We start from the raw sequence: 16,079 nt of genomic DNA, 5'->3' as shown, positions 1-16,079 counted from the left end.
GGCTGGGGGTGGTGGTCGTGGCGTTGGGAAGAGGGAAGGAGGAGGGGGGGGTGCCGGGACGCCACGAAGAGGCTGCAGTAGATGGGCGTGCAGTGCATGGGCAGCGTGTGCCGGGATTCCAGTCCTCCCCTGTCCAGGCTTCGGGTTGGCACCGGCTTCCCCAGACAACAGCAAACCACACCCTCCATAGTTCACTCCTCAGGGAACCCGTAACTCCCTAATCCCGCTCTGGCTAGGAACTCGGGACCGCCGCCCCCAGGGGCCTATTTTCCCACACGTGGGGGACAGATCCTGGTCTAGAGTGCCTTCGCCTGGAAGAGTTACTGTAGTTTTTCGGAGCACTCAAGTCAAACCCTAAATTCCGTTTCGACCACACCTGTTCTGGGTGGGCTTAACCAGGATTTCTCCTGAAGTGGAGTCTGAAGGTGGTTGGGCTGGGCGGTCCCACTTTTGCTCCCCGTTTTTGTGCTTCGGGGGAGGGGGTGCTAGGAAGGCTCATTTGGCCCGAGCATGGAAGGCAGTGATAGTGGGCGTCCCTCCGGAGCTGGCTGGTATTGTGGAATTGGCCTTTGGACCCCACTCGCGATGCGCAGACCAGACGGAAGCTGAAACGGGGGAAATGCTCGGGGAAGCGGAGTCGCAGTGAACCTGGGCTGGCAGGGAATCCCGCTGTGCAGATGGAATACCCTCTTCGGACGAACGGGGAAGCTGCTTCAGAGAATCTGGCTTGCGCTCCGTGGAACCGTGGGGTTTTAGGGCTTTGCCAACGCCCCTTTGCTGACTCCGCCCGCACCGCCCAGCAACCTCAAGGCCCACAGGCAGCCCCCCGCCTTGCCGCCGGCGTCACCATGTCATGGAAACCGAAGCCGCGGAGACCCGCAGTGCGACTCGTTGGCGTTCTGCCCTGACCCGTGGGTGCCGGGACCCTAACGCCTTCTCCACACCTTCTTGCACATACACATGTGGGCTCCCCGCTGCGGGCCGGAGGAGCGTAGGGGACTAGTCAGCTCCGGCGCGCCGCCGGCCTCCGCCGGTCGCTCCCAGACCCCGACGCGGGGCAGGGCAGAGGATGGAGAAGGCGGTTCTGCGATCTAGGGGGCGGGCTCCGCGGGCTCGGACTCGGCTTCGCGCTCCTCCTGCGGACCCGGCACTTCCCGGCGGAAGACGACCGGTACTCGGTAGGCTTCTGGCACCCCCGCAAGCGCCAAAAGCCGTGTGGCATGGGGTCCCCACTTCTTCCACCCGGACCCCCAGGCGCCTCCCAGCCTGCTGCGCTGCGTGAGGCCTGCGGGGAGGGGGCCAGTCCAGCCCTGCTGTCCTCACACTCCTCCCCTCCCCGCAGCTGTCCCGGTTCTCGCCGCCAGCGCCCTCGACCCAACCGCCCCTTTCTGGAATCTATAGTGGCCCCAGTCCCGGGTGGCTTGCCTCCGCCCCCGTCCCAGCTGGGCTCCTTCTCATGCAAAGCAGAGGGGTCACGGTGGAGTGTGGGGCGGTCAGTGGGACCTACCGGACGACAGCTGGACCTAGCTGTCGGCCCTTCCCCAACCCAGGGCCTGTCACCTCCCTCTGGTGGGCAGGAGGAGGTTGCTCCATCCATTTAGGGGTGTAAGAACCTTGGGACCTAGGTATAGGGGAAAGAAGGCCCCTCCCCACAGACGGACCAGCGAGGCAGGAGAGTTGAGGATGAGGACAGGACGCTCGCTCTAGGGCGTCAGGCTCCGCTCGTCCTGGTGTCCAGATGGCTCAGTAAACAGGTCCGCAGGAGCCAACCCTGGCGTCTCTGCAAGGGGGGCCAGGAGCGCAACTCAAAGTGCGCCTCTTGGCTCCAGATTCTAGGTTTGGAGTCCAGATTTAACTCCTCCACGGGGACAGCACATTAGACAAATGGTGGGTTTTGTTTTGTTTTCGTTTCCATTGAGCTTTTGTTTTAAAACATAATCGGTCGCAGGGACATGGAGAGAAAATTGACCAGGCTTTCTAAATTCGCCTTCTCCGAAGCCGCTCAGCTCAGCTCTGCATTTAAGCCAGTTCCGTTCAGCGAAGAGCACCAACCTTCCCTCCTCACCTTCCCGGCCACATTTATTGTCTGCATCCTCAACTACGCAAGCGTTTTCCTACCCAATGTCCTCCACAGACCCACAGCCACTTACACCGCCCAGGACCTGTACATTCTGGACCAGGGTCCGCGGGGATCATTTTCGCCCATAGCTCGGTGACTGCAGAATCCTTTCCACCCTCCTCCCAGGCACCCCCGGATACGGCCCCAGAGGGCCTAGGAGGTGACTTTCACAGTCCAGGTTTCTTTTCTTGAGAAGCTCCTTGACGATCAGCCCCAGAGGGACCCTGGTCAGAACCCGGGTTGGAGAGGGTTCTGTCAGCTCTCTCCAGCTGCCATGCAGTTTGGGGAGCCTGAAGGTGCCCCTCTCAAACTTCCACTTCCCTTCCTTCCCCCGCCCCCGCCCCCTCCAGGTTCCAGAATGACGCTCGGCCCATGGACAGAGCCTGCCCAGTCACTCTCGGCTGCTATTGATCCCGAGGATGATGGCCGCCCCTAGCCATTTCCCTCCTCTCTCTTCGGTTCCAGAACAGCCCAAGGAGCAGAAAAGAGTGACAAGGCCGTGAAAGGAGGCGCCTGGGGCGTAGCCGGCTCTAGGAGGTTACCCCATGCGGAGTACACACCCTGCTACACCCATCCCGGAGGAGGGAGGAAATAGCCAGCCCGGAGCACCCCTGGACTCTGCCGGTCCCAGAGGCCACGCAAACTCCGCCCAGACTCGGTGAGGCCGCGGTAATGCCACGCAGGGAACTGCGTGGATAAGGTCGCTCGGATCTGAGCGCCAAGGTCTCCCGCCTCTCCTTCCCGTCTAGTTCTCTCCGGACTCAAATTGCCTTAATCTCACCCATCACTCTCTCATGGAAATGATCTACTCGTGTGCAGTACTTCACAGCTTGTATCACGGTCTCCCCTGAACCGTATAGCAAGAGGGTGGTGGGGGGTGGAAGAGAAGGGTACTATCTCCACTTTCCCGGCCAGGAGGCCCAAGTTAGGAGGCTTGTCCGAGATCCCTAGGTCAGAGCACTATTTAAGGTGAGAAGTTGGGTGGGGAGCTTGGCACCTTGCTCCAGTGTGCACTTTGCGCCTGGCCATGTTTTATAAGCAAGGGGGGCTTGGGCTGGTTAAGGGGGAGCAGGGACCGCAGGGCCAGGAAAGGGCAGCATCCGGCAGGCCGGGGCGTCACGGTATGTGCCTGGCCTGGGTAAACAACTCTGGCTTCCCACGAGCGCTGGAGGGACCCTGGGCATGGGGCAGGGGCGTGGGGGAGGGGGGGCAGGGGCGTGGGGTGGGGCAGGGAGCGGGTGGAACAGCGAGGTCAAGCGTGGAGATTCCAGTTGCGAGTCAGCTCCGCGCCGCGGAGCAAAGACAGGACGTGGATAATCTTGGGAGGGAGACGCTGAGCTGAAGAACAGAAAAGAGAGACAGAGGCAGAAGTGAGGAGAGAGGGACAGGAAAAGAAAATAAAGGCAGAAAACCAGAGAAAAGATGAGACGGAGTGCGGAAAAGCAGGCGGGGATAAAGAAAGGAAAGATCTGTCGGGGAAATGCGGGGAGAAGTGGAGGAAAAGAAACAGAAATTAGACCCAGAGAGAGACCCTGCCACGAAGAAGGCCGCGGGGACGGGCGCGGAGCCGAGGGCCCTGCAGGCACGGAGGGGGCGTCCCGCGGGTCTGGGGGTGTGCGGCTTTGGGACAGGCGAGTGCGTGCTGAGAGAAAGAGGCAGCGTGTTTGGTGGGAGACTCTGCGCCCGTGGAAAAGCGGCTCTGGGCAGGAATCCAACAAATAAATAAAACGTCTAAGACGGCGTGACAACAATGTGTATTTGGGTGCGTGCCCGTGTTCCTCTGTCTGAACACCCAGTAAGGAAGACAAACGGGGCTCGTGCCTCACAGTAATTAATCCTCTCACTAATTGACTCTCTCCCCTTACCTAATGGCGGTGGTCACTGCCGATATCTGGAGAGACATCAAGTTGGGGGAGACAGAGAGAGAGAACCCCAAAGCTAACGACCTTTGGGACTGAGATTGAGTTTTTTCTGGACTTGGCAGCTCTAAGCCCTGCCCCCACCTCCACTTTTGGGCAGAGTTCCATAGATATTGCTGCCTTCCTTCCCCCTCCAGGTTTTGGGCAGCATTAATAAAGATCTCCTCAGATTAGGGTGATGTGGTTACACACACTGAAGCCCTTCTACCGCCCTCCACCTTGGGAGATCAGTTTCAGAGGCTGAAAGCCACCCCTGTCCCTGGGACATTTCTTACCTCCCTGCAATACCAGCTCCCCCTCCCATGTTGTTCCCCCAGGGGCCCAGACCCTGCACCCTCTTCTTTCAGGCAGTACTAACTCTTCCAAGGACCTGGGCGGTGTCCCGCAGTCCCCTAAGGCAGGTGAGGTTTTGAACGGGCTGAGAAGCAGTCTGGGGTTGATGGAAGGAGAGTGGTGGGAGGTCAGGGCAAGGATGGGGAGAGGCTTCCAGAGACAACCTTCCTCAGACTTGGGTTGAGAGACACAGAGGCGCAGAGAGGCGCAGTTGCCACCAGGCAAGAGAGAGGCCTCTAGGGACAAAGGAGGGAAAGGTGGGCTCTATGCACTGTGGGAAGGAGCGCCAAGTGTGTGAGAGGCAGGAAGGTGGTCATGTCTCTGTGACTGTGAGGGTGACAGTTCTGGTCTCTCTGTGTGAGCATGGGGAAGCCCCCTATGTTCCCTCACAGCACCCTCAGTTCTTAGACTGGGGAGAAGAGGCAGGGGACTGGTCTGGGACTTGATGGTCCCCTTGGTAGCTGAGTTGGCTGGAAGGGGTCCAACGCCCACAGTCTGTCTGGTAATGCAGCTTTGAGGCTTAGGTTTGGGAGGTGAATGTCAACTCTCACCCCTGTGAGGTGGCAGCTTTGCTCTGTTGGCCTCCTCAGAGGCTAAATAAAGAAATGCTGAGATCTATAAACCACCCAGCCCAGAGAGAAAAAGGAGGGAGGAAGGGCAGCTCCCTAGAAAAAAATCCACCCCCTCCCCACCACTAAACACATTTTTAATTGTCCCTTGGGAACATTTGTACATTTGACCAAAGCAAATCTCAAAGCAGCAGCAGCAAAATGAGTCAGAGGGGCTGGTGGTCCAGAGAGAGCTGGGGATCGGAGATGGGGAGGTGAGGAGAGGTGGCAGGCATGTTTGGGAAGGTGAGAAACTTGGTTCCTTTCCCACCATCTCTGTCAAGCTTTAGAAAGAAAGTGAGCAGGAGAAATAAAGTTCCAGGGGAAAGAAAGAGAAGGGCATATAAAAGGCAAATCCAACCCAGAAAGGAAAGAAAGTGAAGAAGAAAGAAAAAGGCAGGGAGGGGGGAGAGACTATAATAAAAGAGGGTGAAGGCGGCCCCAGGAGGCTGGGCCTCGTCCCAAACCATCCGTCTTCATTGTCTCCGTGTGTGCAAAGGCAACTCTGGCATAAGGAAAACCCACTATTGGAGCCGAGGCTTTATTTTATATCCTATACATCAGGAGGGAGGCAAAGCTTTATTTTCGCCAAGAGACAGATATTTTATTTCTCTCTTACGGTTTTATGTGTGAGAGATGTCAGGTTGCCACAATGGATGGCTAATGCATAGGCAAGAGGAAGCCGTGTTGGCATGCTGTGTGTCATGGGGTCTTGTGGGGGTGAGCGGGCCTGGGATTTAGGGCTGATGGGACACTCTGGGGGATTTCTGCTAAAACATCTCTCTTCATAAATCCAGAAGCATGGTCAGCTCAACAGGGAGAAGAAGGAGTTTTAGAGGGGAAAGAGTTGGGCTTAGTAATAAACGAACACACAAAGGAACCGCTTACCTTCCAACAGCCTCGGGCAACAGGGGCACGACAGCCCCATGGAAATGCAGACACCCATGTCCACGCACACAAGCGCCATTCACAGGGAAGTATTTTCCTGACACAAAATCCAATGTCAGTTTCCTTTCCTTTCCCCGTTTTATATTTTTCCACCCCCCTTCACCAGAAATCTTTTTTAACCTCCTCAGAGCCTTGGGGGAAAAGAGCCATTAATTTGCAAATCATCTGATCTGTGAAAGGATCAAGATGCCTGGTTTTCACTGCTAAATCCAACGTCTTGAGTGGACACAGAGGCACACACAAGCCCGTCATGCTGCCAACCCTTGGGAGCATAGGTGCCAGATCTGAAGCCAAGAAAAGACTCCCTCTCCTCCCGGGACCTGCAGCTGAATTAAGCCTTAGATTCCAAACTGCATAATGTTCATATTTTTAAACCTGGAGAGAAGTGGAGAGATGAAGGGGGACAAAAAGAGGGGGAACTTTGTTAATTAACGTGTTCCATTCAGGACTTAGACTAATTGTCTTCCCCACTTCCAGCCGCCCCCCAACCCAAGCCATTTCTTACAGGAGTTGCTTTTATTCATTCTCATGTTCTACTTTTCTCATTTTTGGATTAATATCTACTTGTTTAATATCTACTGTGGCGCAAAAACGTGACCACGCTCTTTCTTTTCAGAGGGTTGGAAGCAGCACAGGATTCCTAGACAAGGAGCTTGGAGACTTGGCTACACTGTCCCTGGCCATTAGGGAAGACGTTTAGCCTTTCCGGGCCTCAGTTTTCTCATCTGTAACATGAGGGGATTCGGCTAAATGATTACTGAGGTCCCTTCCAGCTCCGACCTCCTCTGGCCGAATGAGATAATGTGTGAAAACACTTTGTGAACACTAACACCGGACAGATGCCAGGGATCATTATTGCAATTCTAATCAATCCTCTTTTCTCCACATGGATCTTGGCTGTTTAGTGCCAGCAAGCAGGCTAAAGGGGGCTGAAAGCAAGAAAGCTTAGCGGACATGGAAAAGCTCTGTGCAGTGGGAGGGAAAAAAAAAACCCTGCATCTCCAGAAACATTGTGTCTCTGTGTGCCCCCTGAGGCCTAGTGGGAAGGGTTGGGGAGGAGGAGGCCTGACTTGGTATGACCCATTTTGGTCTACATGGCGGCAGAGAGTGTATTTCTTCAAAAGCATTGTTGGTCTCCAAGTGACTGACATGGGAACCTGATGGGAAGGCGATTTGCAATTGTTTTTTTCCAGGAAGAAAGAAAGAGCAAGGTGTAGCTGATTAGCAAGTTAATTATTTCAGTACCCCAAGGGTTCCAGTGTGGTGGTAAGTTGTCCAGCCCTGGTGTAATTTCACAGTCTGTGCATTTCCTGGTGAGCACCTGGGGTGCCCGAGTCTGTCTCTTTCTCTTTCCACCTGCCTTGTGTCTTCCTGACACACCTGGGGAGATGAGCAGGGGCTGGGGAGGTTGATGGTACAAGGTACACATTCGGCTTAGGCTGCGGGTGGGGGCCACACCAAGAACAGGGTGGAGGAAGCCCAACTGATGCCATCTACCTCCGCTGAGTGTTTAATTATCTGGCCCTTTCTTCTTTAAAAAATAATCTTTTGTTTAATAAATATTAATGAGGCGGGTTATCGGAAAGTGTAGTTGCCATGAGGTTATTTCCCCAGCCTTAGCATGGAAAGAAACTGGGTTTGAGGAGCCTTTCGGCCCCTCACCGCCTTCTACCCCCACCAGCTCTCCCGTGCTCACGTTCCGCAGCAGCTCTTCCGGTCTCACTTCAAGATTTGATTTCCCCTTGGGGGAGGGTAGGGGAGGGAGGATCATGTGGTCAAATGGACACTTCCCCTCGGAGAGATAAGTTGGAGATGTGAACATTAGCCTCAAGAATTAACAGCTTCTGCCGCTCTCTGCTCTCGGGGCTGAGAGGGCCAGCCCCCCCGCTGCTCCTTCCGCGATGGATGAAGGGAGGGCTCTACAGTTTACTTAAGAGTGGTCCCATCTGCTCAGACTGGCCTTTCATAAGGGGAGGGATTTATGCAGTGTCCTTGTGCACAGACCTGGGATTTGGCTGAAAACCTTGGGCCTCTGAGAATATTACTGAACGCTAAAACGTTCAGCCATGGAGATGATTCATGATTTTGTCTGCATGGACAGTGTGTGTGTGTGTGTGTGTGTGTGTGCGCGCGCGCGCGCGCGTGTGTGTTTGTTGGGGTTGCACGCACAGTGATGATGGGTGCCACTCACCGTTCTCACTTTGAATCCAAATGTTAGGAAACTTTTTTTCCTTCTGTATTCACTCAGGAGACAGGCCCTGGCACCAGGCTCTGGAGACCCCACTTCCTGACTCCAGCGGTGCGAAGATGATACAATACTTTCTGGTGCTGACATTCAGCTGTCTCCCAAACAGGTTGGCTGATAGCCCTGCCCGTCCTTGAAGAGGGGCCGGGGGCTGTCTAAAAAGACAGTTCTGATGACTGCTTCGTTGGTAGTGGCAGAGGATTTGGGGCACAGGGGTGGAGTTAAGTCCAATTGCTGTTTAAATTGGACTTGGCCTCCTTTATTTTACAGTCCTAAGGGGTCTCCATAGGAGAAAAAGTAGCGAGAGAAACTTAGAACACAGGAAAGCAAGCATAGGGAAGAGTTTCTTGTCTCAATCTTGGTACTGCCGTGCCAAAATGAAGCCCAGGGATGGTTAAAAACGGATCCTAGGGACCGGGCACCTTGGCTCAGGCCTGTAATCCCAGCACTTTGGGAGATCAAGATGGGAGGATTGCTTGAGGCTAGGAGTTCGAGGCCAGCCTGGCCAACATAGTGAGACCTCATCTCCAAAAATAAAAACTTAAAAAAAAATTTAAAAAACAAAAACAAAAATACAGATCCTAGGGAACAGAGTTTTGAGGTTCCCTGTGGGATCTTGGCCTGACTCTTGGGAGATGAAGAAGTCCTTGGCAAGTTTGAAAAGATCTACAAGTGCCATCTATTCAGGGGACTAAATGTGATTTCTTTTCACTGCCCAGTGGCTGGTAAGGAAGGAAGCATTTTGCATTTTCAGCTTGTAGGATGGTTATTGGTGGTCCTACCATCTTGCTCATGTTCAAGTTTGGTCGTGTAGATGAAGAGCCCAGCTTCCCAGCTCTTAGTTTTTCTTTTCCCTCAGGCCATTCATAATTTAGCTAACATTCTAGTCCATTGACCAGCATGCATTTTGAAAGGTGAGCTGGCAAGCCTGTAACTGTGTGCAAGGTTGTTCTCATTTAGGCTCCAGGAAGGATATAGTTTCCCCATAAGAAAGAAAAGTGGGCGAGAGGCTGAGGTGGGAGGTCACTTGAGTCCAGGAGGCAAAGATTGCAGTGAGCTGAGAACCATGCCACTCACTGCCTTCCAGCTTGGGTGACAGAGTGAGACCCCATCTCGAAAAAAAAAAAAAAAAAAAAAGAAAAAGAAAGAAAGAAAGAAATAAAAGCAAGGAACTATTTATATTAATCTTTTAATGAAGGATTTACCAATCTGATAAGTACGAAGCTCCTTTTCCTCCTTCTGAATGAGTAACTATGTCAGTCAATGTTGAGGGTCTGCAGAACCTATACAAAAATGCTTTCTTTGGTCTCTCAGTTTTAACACATGCTGGGGCTTGGGCCTGCCTCTGACAGACTGGGGAGGAGTAGACACATTCCAGAGACCAGGTCTTGGAGTGTTATCTCTTCCCCCACCTCAAATCCTCACCCTCCACTTTATCTGTCTTTAGCACGAATGCAGAGACCTCCTAGGGAAGTGTGAAGGGATGGGTTTTCGTCAGGTTTAGGGAAGGAAGGGGAATAAGATGAGCCCCAAAGAAAGATGGGGGTCATTTGGAATTTTTAGATGACACTCTTTTGTTATACTTTTCTTGTATTGTGTATTATGTCCTACAAATCGTGCATTTGTTACAGTAAGCCACAGTGTGTATGTGTGTTTGCCAAGTGCTGCTTGGCCAAAACAGTGTTAAATAAAATTGTAAGAAATGCTACCAGGGCCTTGCATGGGTTATTTAATTCTATCAATGATAAACAACGTTAATGTGTAGCATCTCAGTTGGCACAGTATCATGTTTCATTTATATATGCTGAGATATATTTAAGCATGAAAGATACAGTTTTCCAACATATATGTTTCCCAGTGATTACTTAGGGGAAGTGTGATAGAAACAGCAGAAACCTTTCTCTCTCACATAAACCTGCATCCTGCAAACACAGACTGCCAGTCACACTTAGTCACATGGCCAGCCAGCCATGTACATATTTTCGTATATATGCCTTCACAGGTAAGTGTAAATGTAGATTTTAGAAATGTAGATTCAGATTTCTGTACTGGTACACGATTCTAGATACATGTAGCAGCACACACAGGCCGCTTTTCAAAGTCTTTGTTACATTTACACATTTTCTCACACACTTACCTACCCTCCTGCATAGACGGATGCTAACAGCAACATGCGTCTCACCCCACATGTGGATATGTATGTGTACACATGTTGGTACTCTCACTGCCAAGTGCTGATGTTCCCAGAAGGATGTGTGCCCACATGCAGGAGACTGTTCTGCCCAGTCTCCTCCTGAAATGTGCATTTGTGTGCATGTGCACATTTGCACACACACATGCACACTCCTCCACCCCTGCTCTGGGGAGTACACTAACATTCACTGACACGCTCCGTATGGCCATGGAGCAGCAGCTGCTCTGTTACTCTTGGAGGCTCCAGACGTGGTGGACAGTTTTTTTTACCTGGGAACTGTGTGTTTGCCCTGTGAACCCTGAGGCCTTCAGGATGGGAAGCCTGGAGGATCAGGGTCAAGATGCCAGCCTGTCTAGCCTCTGATGAAAATAATATGAAAACGTAGGAGTGGGAGAGGGGGTGGGGTAGCTGGTCTCTGCAGACAGATGCCTCCAAAAGAGGATCAACCTTTTATTTGCTCATTTGACAAACATGTCAGAGAGGTATATAGGAGTCAGGATGCCTGATTAGCTTCTCTGATCCTGATTCTGCTGCCAATTAGCTGTGTGGATCTAGGCAACCTGCTCTCTAGGCCTCAGTTTGCACATCTGTAAAGAACAGGCCTGGGGCTGGATGTGGTGGCTTATGTCTGTAATCCAAGCACTTTGGGAGGCCAAGGCGGGTGGATCACCTGAGGTCAGGAGTTTGAAAGCAGCCTGGCCAACATGGCGAAACCCCGTCTCTACTAAAAATACAAAAATTGGCCAGGTTTGGTGGTGGGCACCTGTAATCCCAGCTACTCGGGAGGCTGAGGCAGGAGAATTGCTTGAACTCGGAGGGTGGAGTTTGCAGTGAGCCAAGATCGCGCCACTTCACTCTGTCTCAAAAAAAAAAAAAAAAAAAAAAAAAAAGAATGGGCCTGGATGGGCAGTTCTCAACCTTGGATGCACAGAGGAATCATCCGGGGAGCTTTCAAAAAATACAGATGTCTGGGCTCCACCCCAGACCAGTTAGATTAGCATCTCTGGGAGGTGAGTTCCTTGCATCTTTTTTTTTTTTAAAGCTCCCCAGGTTATTCTATGTTCAACCAAGGTTGAGACCCAGTGGCTGAGATGGTCTCCAAGGCTCTTCTAGACCAAAAGCTCTATGACATGGAGGACTTTCCATACAAAAAGCACTGTGCTGGGTACCAGGGCACCCTGATGAAACATCTACATTTACTTGTATAAGGTCATTAAAAGTTATTAAAAATTATTCTTCTTTCAGTTTAGGCAAAGAATAATTTCAAACAAAGTATATTTATCCTGGAAACACTCACACTTGCATTTCCAGCTCTCTTTCTGTTTCTTTGTTTCCTTTCCAATTTATCTCTCTCTGACTCACTCATCGAACATTAATTATATGCCACATATACAAATACTATTCGTGGGGATCTGATAAATGTGATAGATACCTTTGCTACCCACACATATTTCCTGGCTAGCTCCTCACCCAACCTGTTGGATAGCATAATATTTTTAGCAGGGTAAATGATAAGGCACAGGCTCCAGGAGGAAAGTTTTCTCCCCCCACCCCCCAAGCCCAGCTGTGAGTCAGAGAACACCAGCCCCCAGGCCCGTGCCCCAGTTCTGGAGGCTGGCATGGTGCTGAAGAACGCATTGAGCTGTGTGTCCTAGAAAGCTGCTCTCAGACCTGGGCCTTTGGGAATCCCACATTAATATTCTCCACTAACAGTTCCCCAGGCAGGGCCAGTCCCCCTTGAAAACAAACCTGCTCCGTGACCACACCTGCCAGAGAAGACTGCCTCTCATCCACAGTAGCGTGCAGAAGGCAAAACTGAGACAACACAGCCTGAGCTGCCGCCTGCGGGCCGCTTCTCTGTTGGAGGATGTTTAGGAGAGTATGGGGGAGGGCTTCTGCCTCTCATCTGTGGTGGGATGGAGGAGAGGGTTTTCATTCTGTATGGAGGGCCTCCACTTTTCCCTCTGTGTAATCACTCACTCAGGCCTCCGAGAGAAACTCAGACGGGAGCCTGCTTCTCTCTTTCCCTCTCTCCCTTTAGCTACACTGGCCTGCAGAGTTTTGGATGAGTTTTCTTTAGGAAAGTTGTCCCAGCGTGGCCATGGTGGCGGCTCTTCTGTCCAGGTGAGTGCCAGAGTAGGGATCAAGGCTGAGACCCTTGGGTTTGGTCTCTAACCCTCTCATTCACTCCTGTTTGCTGCCTGTGTCTTTGTTTATCTCTGTATTTTCCCCCCTCTCTTTCATTTTGTCTTCTCCCCTGATGACATATGGATCAAGTCCTGGCCACCAAGGTGGCCTTGAACATAGCGTAGGAGAGGTTGCTGGGCACAGCGGACCTCTCATGCCATGCCCAGTCCCTCTTCTCCCCTCCCCTCTCCTCTTGCATAGAGGATGAGTTTGGTGCTGAGGAGGGAGAGGCAGTAGGGGATCCTCAGACTCTAAACTCTGATCCAGGGCCCAGCTTCTCAGGCTTGAGTCCCTTCCCAGGGCCTACCTCCCCTTGGGCCTGGGGAACGTCACACCCCAGGAAGTGATGGATTCCCCAGGCACCTTCAAAGAGCTCTGCATTTGTTTGCAATGCAGACCTTGAATCTTGCTCTGGTCATAAATGTTGTTTATTTTGACTAGGACCTACTGAAAGGGGCTGAGAGGTATAGAAGGCAAAGAGAGAATTCTGTAGGGAAGATCATAAAACCATTAGCAAGGCAGGGCTTCTAGGGGTCACAGGATCACAGACATTTTCTGGTTGGAAGGAGCATAGGCCATCAGGAAGGTCAGAGATGACCACTTTGTCAGCAAAAGGCCTTCAGGGGCCACACAGGGCTAGGGTGGGGGTCTTTGGTCCTCTTGTGTGCGGACTGTTTCTAGAAAGTGGACCTAAGGTATGGGGTCATGACCCCCCAGTAACCTTATGCCAGGCTGGGGAGGCCAATCTTGCTGAATCTGATGGATTTGCCCTCCTGGTGGGAAGAACCAGTTGCTTGGCTGTGTAGCAGAGCCTGCTATCCTAGGGAGTGGGCACAGCTCCTGGGTGGAAGATTCTGCTTCCAGCAGCTCCTGGGGAAAAGACTTTGCTTCCACTATTATTGAGGGAGCAGCTGTATGTGCCAGGGGCTGTGCCTGATGCTCTTCTAGTACCTTGTCTTATTCACCCTTCAAGACAATGCTTGAAAGAGAAGTTTTCATCTCCATTTTGCAGATAAGAAAACTGAAGCTCAGAGAGGAGAGGTGGTTTGTCCAAGGTCACACAGCAAGTTAGTGATAAGGCTGGGAGTAGGCTTTAAGACTTGGGACTCTTTCAACCTAATCTTCTCCACATCTCTCCTCTTCTTCACCATCCACTGTGGTCTGGTCTTCTGCAGCCTGAGAGAACAAATGGGAGTAGGGTTCCCCTCCCTCTAAAGCATATATTGGGCTGACAAAAAACTCAGGAACAAACTTCCTTCTTTTTTATTTTTTTGAGACAAGGTCTTGCTCTGTCACCCAGGCTAGAGTGCAGTGGCATTATCATGGCTCCAACTCATGGGCCCAACCTATCCTCCCACCTCAGCCTCCCAGGTAGCTGGGACCACAGGAACATGCCACCACACCTGGCTAATTTTTAAATTTTTTATAGAGATGTCTCCCTATGTTACCCAGGCTGGTCTTGAACTCCTGGGGTCAATCAATCCTCCTGCCTTAGACTCTCAAAGTGCTCGGATTACAGGTGTGAGCCACCGTGCCCAGACTGCAAACTTCCTTCTTGTAGGGGGAACAGCAGAGCCTTGGGCCCCTTCCAGTCCCTGGCACAGACCTGGCTCACTCTTCAGAGAACATTCTCCCATAAATCCAGTCCACAGTCAGGTAGCTATCCTGGTTGCCTTTCACTCATGGTGTGACTCAGAGCAAGTCACTTCACCATTCTGAGTCACACCTTCCAGATCCACCTCCAGACCTGGGGGCTCTGTGGAAGGTGAGGCTTGGCGGAAGTGGTGGCAAGCGGAGCCCTCTTGAGCTCCTGTTTGGTGTAATAGCTCAGGGCTGGGCAGGAGATGAGACTTGGTTTTGCCCCTAAACCTAACTCAAGTTACATAAAGATTCTTCAAAAAGCAGGCAAGGCAGGGCTTGGTAAGATCCCTGCTGAGCCCGTGAGAGGCGGAGAGCCAGGGCAGAGGCAGCTTAAGTAGCAGTTCTTCCCTGATCCCCTGACTGTGTAATCCAGTTGCTCAGAGAATGGAAAATCCCTTTCGCCTCCCCTGGTCTCCTCCCCCACAAAGGCCTCCTAATAGGCCTGCCAGCTTTGGGGTGCTAATCTGCCCAGACATCACTCTGTGAGCAGGTTGCCCAGGGTTCCAATCCCAGCCGCCCCACAGTGGGAGATGGGGAAGGCTGGGCGGGGAGTGGTTCTGGGGAGTTGAGTGTGGGGGATTGCCTGCTCTCTGGCCTGCCCAGAAGATCAGAGAAACAAACAGGCTCTGTGCTGAAAGAAACTTTGGGGATGGAGACAGGGCACAGGATTGGAGGGAGGTGGGCAGCAGGGCTGGGTCCCCTGGCAGAGGTGCCTTGGGTGGGGCTTATTATGAAACAGTCCCTGTCACTTCATCCGCCAAGCTCCTTTCATTTTTATTTAAAAAGGGCCCCCTCTCCAGCAACTTCACCTCCCCACCCCCTACACTTTCACTCATCCATCCACTGAGCCGCTGACAGCTGCCCTGCGGGTGAACTCCTGATCCTCCTGCGGCTGGGGCTGGAGCAATACTGGAGGGGCTCAGGCCAGATCACTGCCCCCCTCCAGCCCTCCACCCTCACCTCCCAACACACTTACTCACTCACTCCAGATAGGCCCACCTCCGGTCCCCTGAGTCAGCCAGAGAGAGAAGAAAACGAAGGAGGTGACAAAGCAGAAAAAAGGACCGGGAGGAGGATGAAAAGAAATAAAGAGTGGAGAAGAGGAAGAAAAAATCAGAGGGCTAAAAATCAAACAGTGAAGGAGGAAAAGGGAGGAACTGGAGAAGGAAGGAAAGAGAGGAGGAAATGAAGTACAAGGAGAAGATGGAAAAGCAAGAGGAGAAAGGAAAGAAGGAAGGAGGGAGAGAGAGAGAGGGCAGAGGCTGGAAGGCTGGAGCCCAAGCCCAAGCTATCATCCTTAATAGCTGAAGATGCTGAAGGGAGGGGAAAAAACAGGGTTGGGGAGGACTGGCGGGAGGAGGAGACCGCACAGGCAGGAAGGGAAGTACGAGGTTGCTCCAGGTACGAAGCATGAGCCTGGATGGAGCCTCACCCACCCAGCTCCCAGCTCTGGAAACACAGCCCTCCCCCTGGACGAAGGTCCCTTGGTGCAATGCCGCAGACTGTGTCCACGGCCATGCAGGCTGCAGACAGAGGAATCTCTCACTTGGGGTGGTCAGAGTTGTGGGACCGGTTGGATGGAGCCCTACACTCTCTTCCTAGGATGGCAACAGCGTCCGCCCCAGGCTGCATGACCATGCCAGTTTCAGCTGGCTTCACCGCCTGCAGCGTCTGGGTCCTGCCTGCTCCCTTTGGTTACAGTTAGAAATTTCTCCTGATTTGAGATTTTATCTTACAATGGACTGGGCCTTAAAGACCAAGTACTTTCCACCTCCTCATTTTATAGATGCGAAACAGGCCTGGAGAGGGGAAGAAACTTGTTTACAGTCACATTGTGAGTTAATGGGGAGCTCTGCCTTTCTAAGCTCAAAGACCAAGGCTGAGA

At 52.3% G+C, this 16,079-nt stretch overlaps 1 long non-coding RNA gene across 4 annotated transcripts in view, besides 5 other annotated features; it reads left to right on the top strand.

Annotated features, from left to right (window-relative positions):
* Window positions 1-372: part of an enhancer, noted in NCBI's record as "H3K4me1 hESC enhancer chr17:35292909-35293822 (GRCh37/hg19 assembly coordinates)", that runs on past the window's edge. NCBI's record gives its function as "activates a minimal SCP1, AML or CMV promoter by ChIP-STARR-seq in naive H9 embryonic stem cells {active_cell/tissue: H9 hESC(naive)}" and the evidence as "EXISTENCE:reporter gene assay evidence [ECO:0000049][PMID:30033119]".
* Window positions 1-16,079, top strand: part of LHX1-DT (LHX1 divergent transcript) — a 74,988-nt gene that overhangs the window by 681 nt on the left and 58,228 nt on the right. The window contains exons 2-3 of one of the 4 annotated variants that reach the window (NR_135669.1): window positions 2,585-2,777; window positions 8,176-8,281. The exons of 2 other annotated variants lie outside the window; for them this stretch is intronic. This is a non-coding gene — a long non-coding RNA (LHX1 divergent transcript). Of the gene's footprint in view, window positions 1-2,469; window positions 3,873-8,175; window positions 8,282-16,079 lie in introns of those variants that run through there. One more of the 4 variants, NR_135668.1, reaches the window with a different exon arrangement.
* Window positions 2,201-3,116: an enhancer, noted in NCBI's record as "H3K4me1 hESC enhancer chr17:35290165-35291080 (GRCh37/hg19 assembly coordinates)". NCBI's record gives its function as "activates a minimal SCP1, AML or CMV promoter by ChIP-STARR-seq in naive H9 embryonic stem cells {active_cell/tissue: H9 hESC(naive)}" and the evidence as "EXISTENCE:reporter gene assay evidence [ECO:0000049][PMID:30033119]".
* Window positions 3,199-3,716: an enhancer, noted in NCBI's record as "H3K4me1 hESC enhancer chr17:35289565-35290082 (GRCh37/hg19 assembly coordinates)". NCBI's record gives its function as "activates a minimal SCP1, AML or CMV promoter by ChIP-STARR-seq in naive H9 embryonic stem cells {active_cell/tissue: H9 hESC(naive)}" and the evidence as "EXISTENCE:reporter gene assay evidence [ECO:0000049][PMID:30033119]".
* Window positions 3,717-4,234: an enhancer, noted in NCBI's record as "H3K4me1 hESC enhancer chr17:35289047-35289564 (GRCh37/hg19 assembly coordinates)". NCBI's record gives its function as "activates a minimal SCP1, AML or CMV promoter by ChIP-STARR-seq in naive H9 embryonic stem cells {active_cell/tissue: H9 hESC(naive)}" and the evidence as "EXISTENCE:reporter gene assay evidence [ECO:0000049][PMID:30033119]".
* Window positions 13,825-15,021: an enhancer, noted in NCBI's record as "P300/CBP strongly-dependent group 1 enhancer chr17:35278241-35279440 (GRCh37/hg19 assembly coordinates)". NCBI's record gives its function as "activates an origin of replication core promoter dependent on BRD2, BRD4, P300/CBP, MED14 and CDK7 cofactors, with strong dependence on P300/CBP, by STARR-seq in HCT116 cells {active_cell/tissue: HCT116}" and the evidence as "EXISTENCE:reporter gene assay evidence [ECO:0000049][PMID:35650434]".

Source organism: Homo sapiens, chromosome 17, assembly GCF_000001405.40.
Source record: "Homo sapiens chromosome 17, GRCh38.p14 Primary Assembly".
Classification (NCBI taxonomy): Eukaryota; Metazoa; Chordata; class Mammalia; order Primates; family Hominidae; genus Homo; species Homo sapiens.
This window is presented reverse-complemented; position numbering and strand designations above follow the sequence as displayed.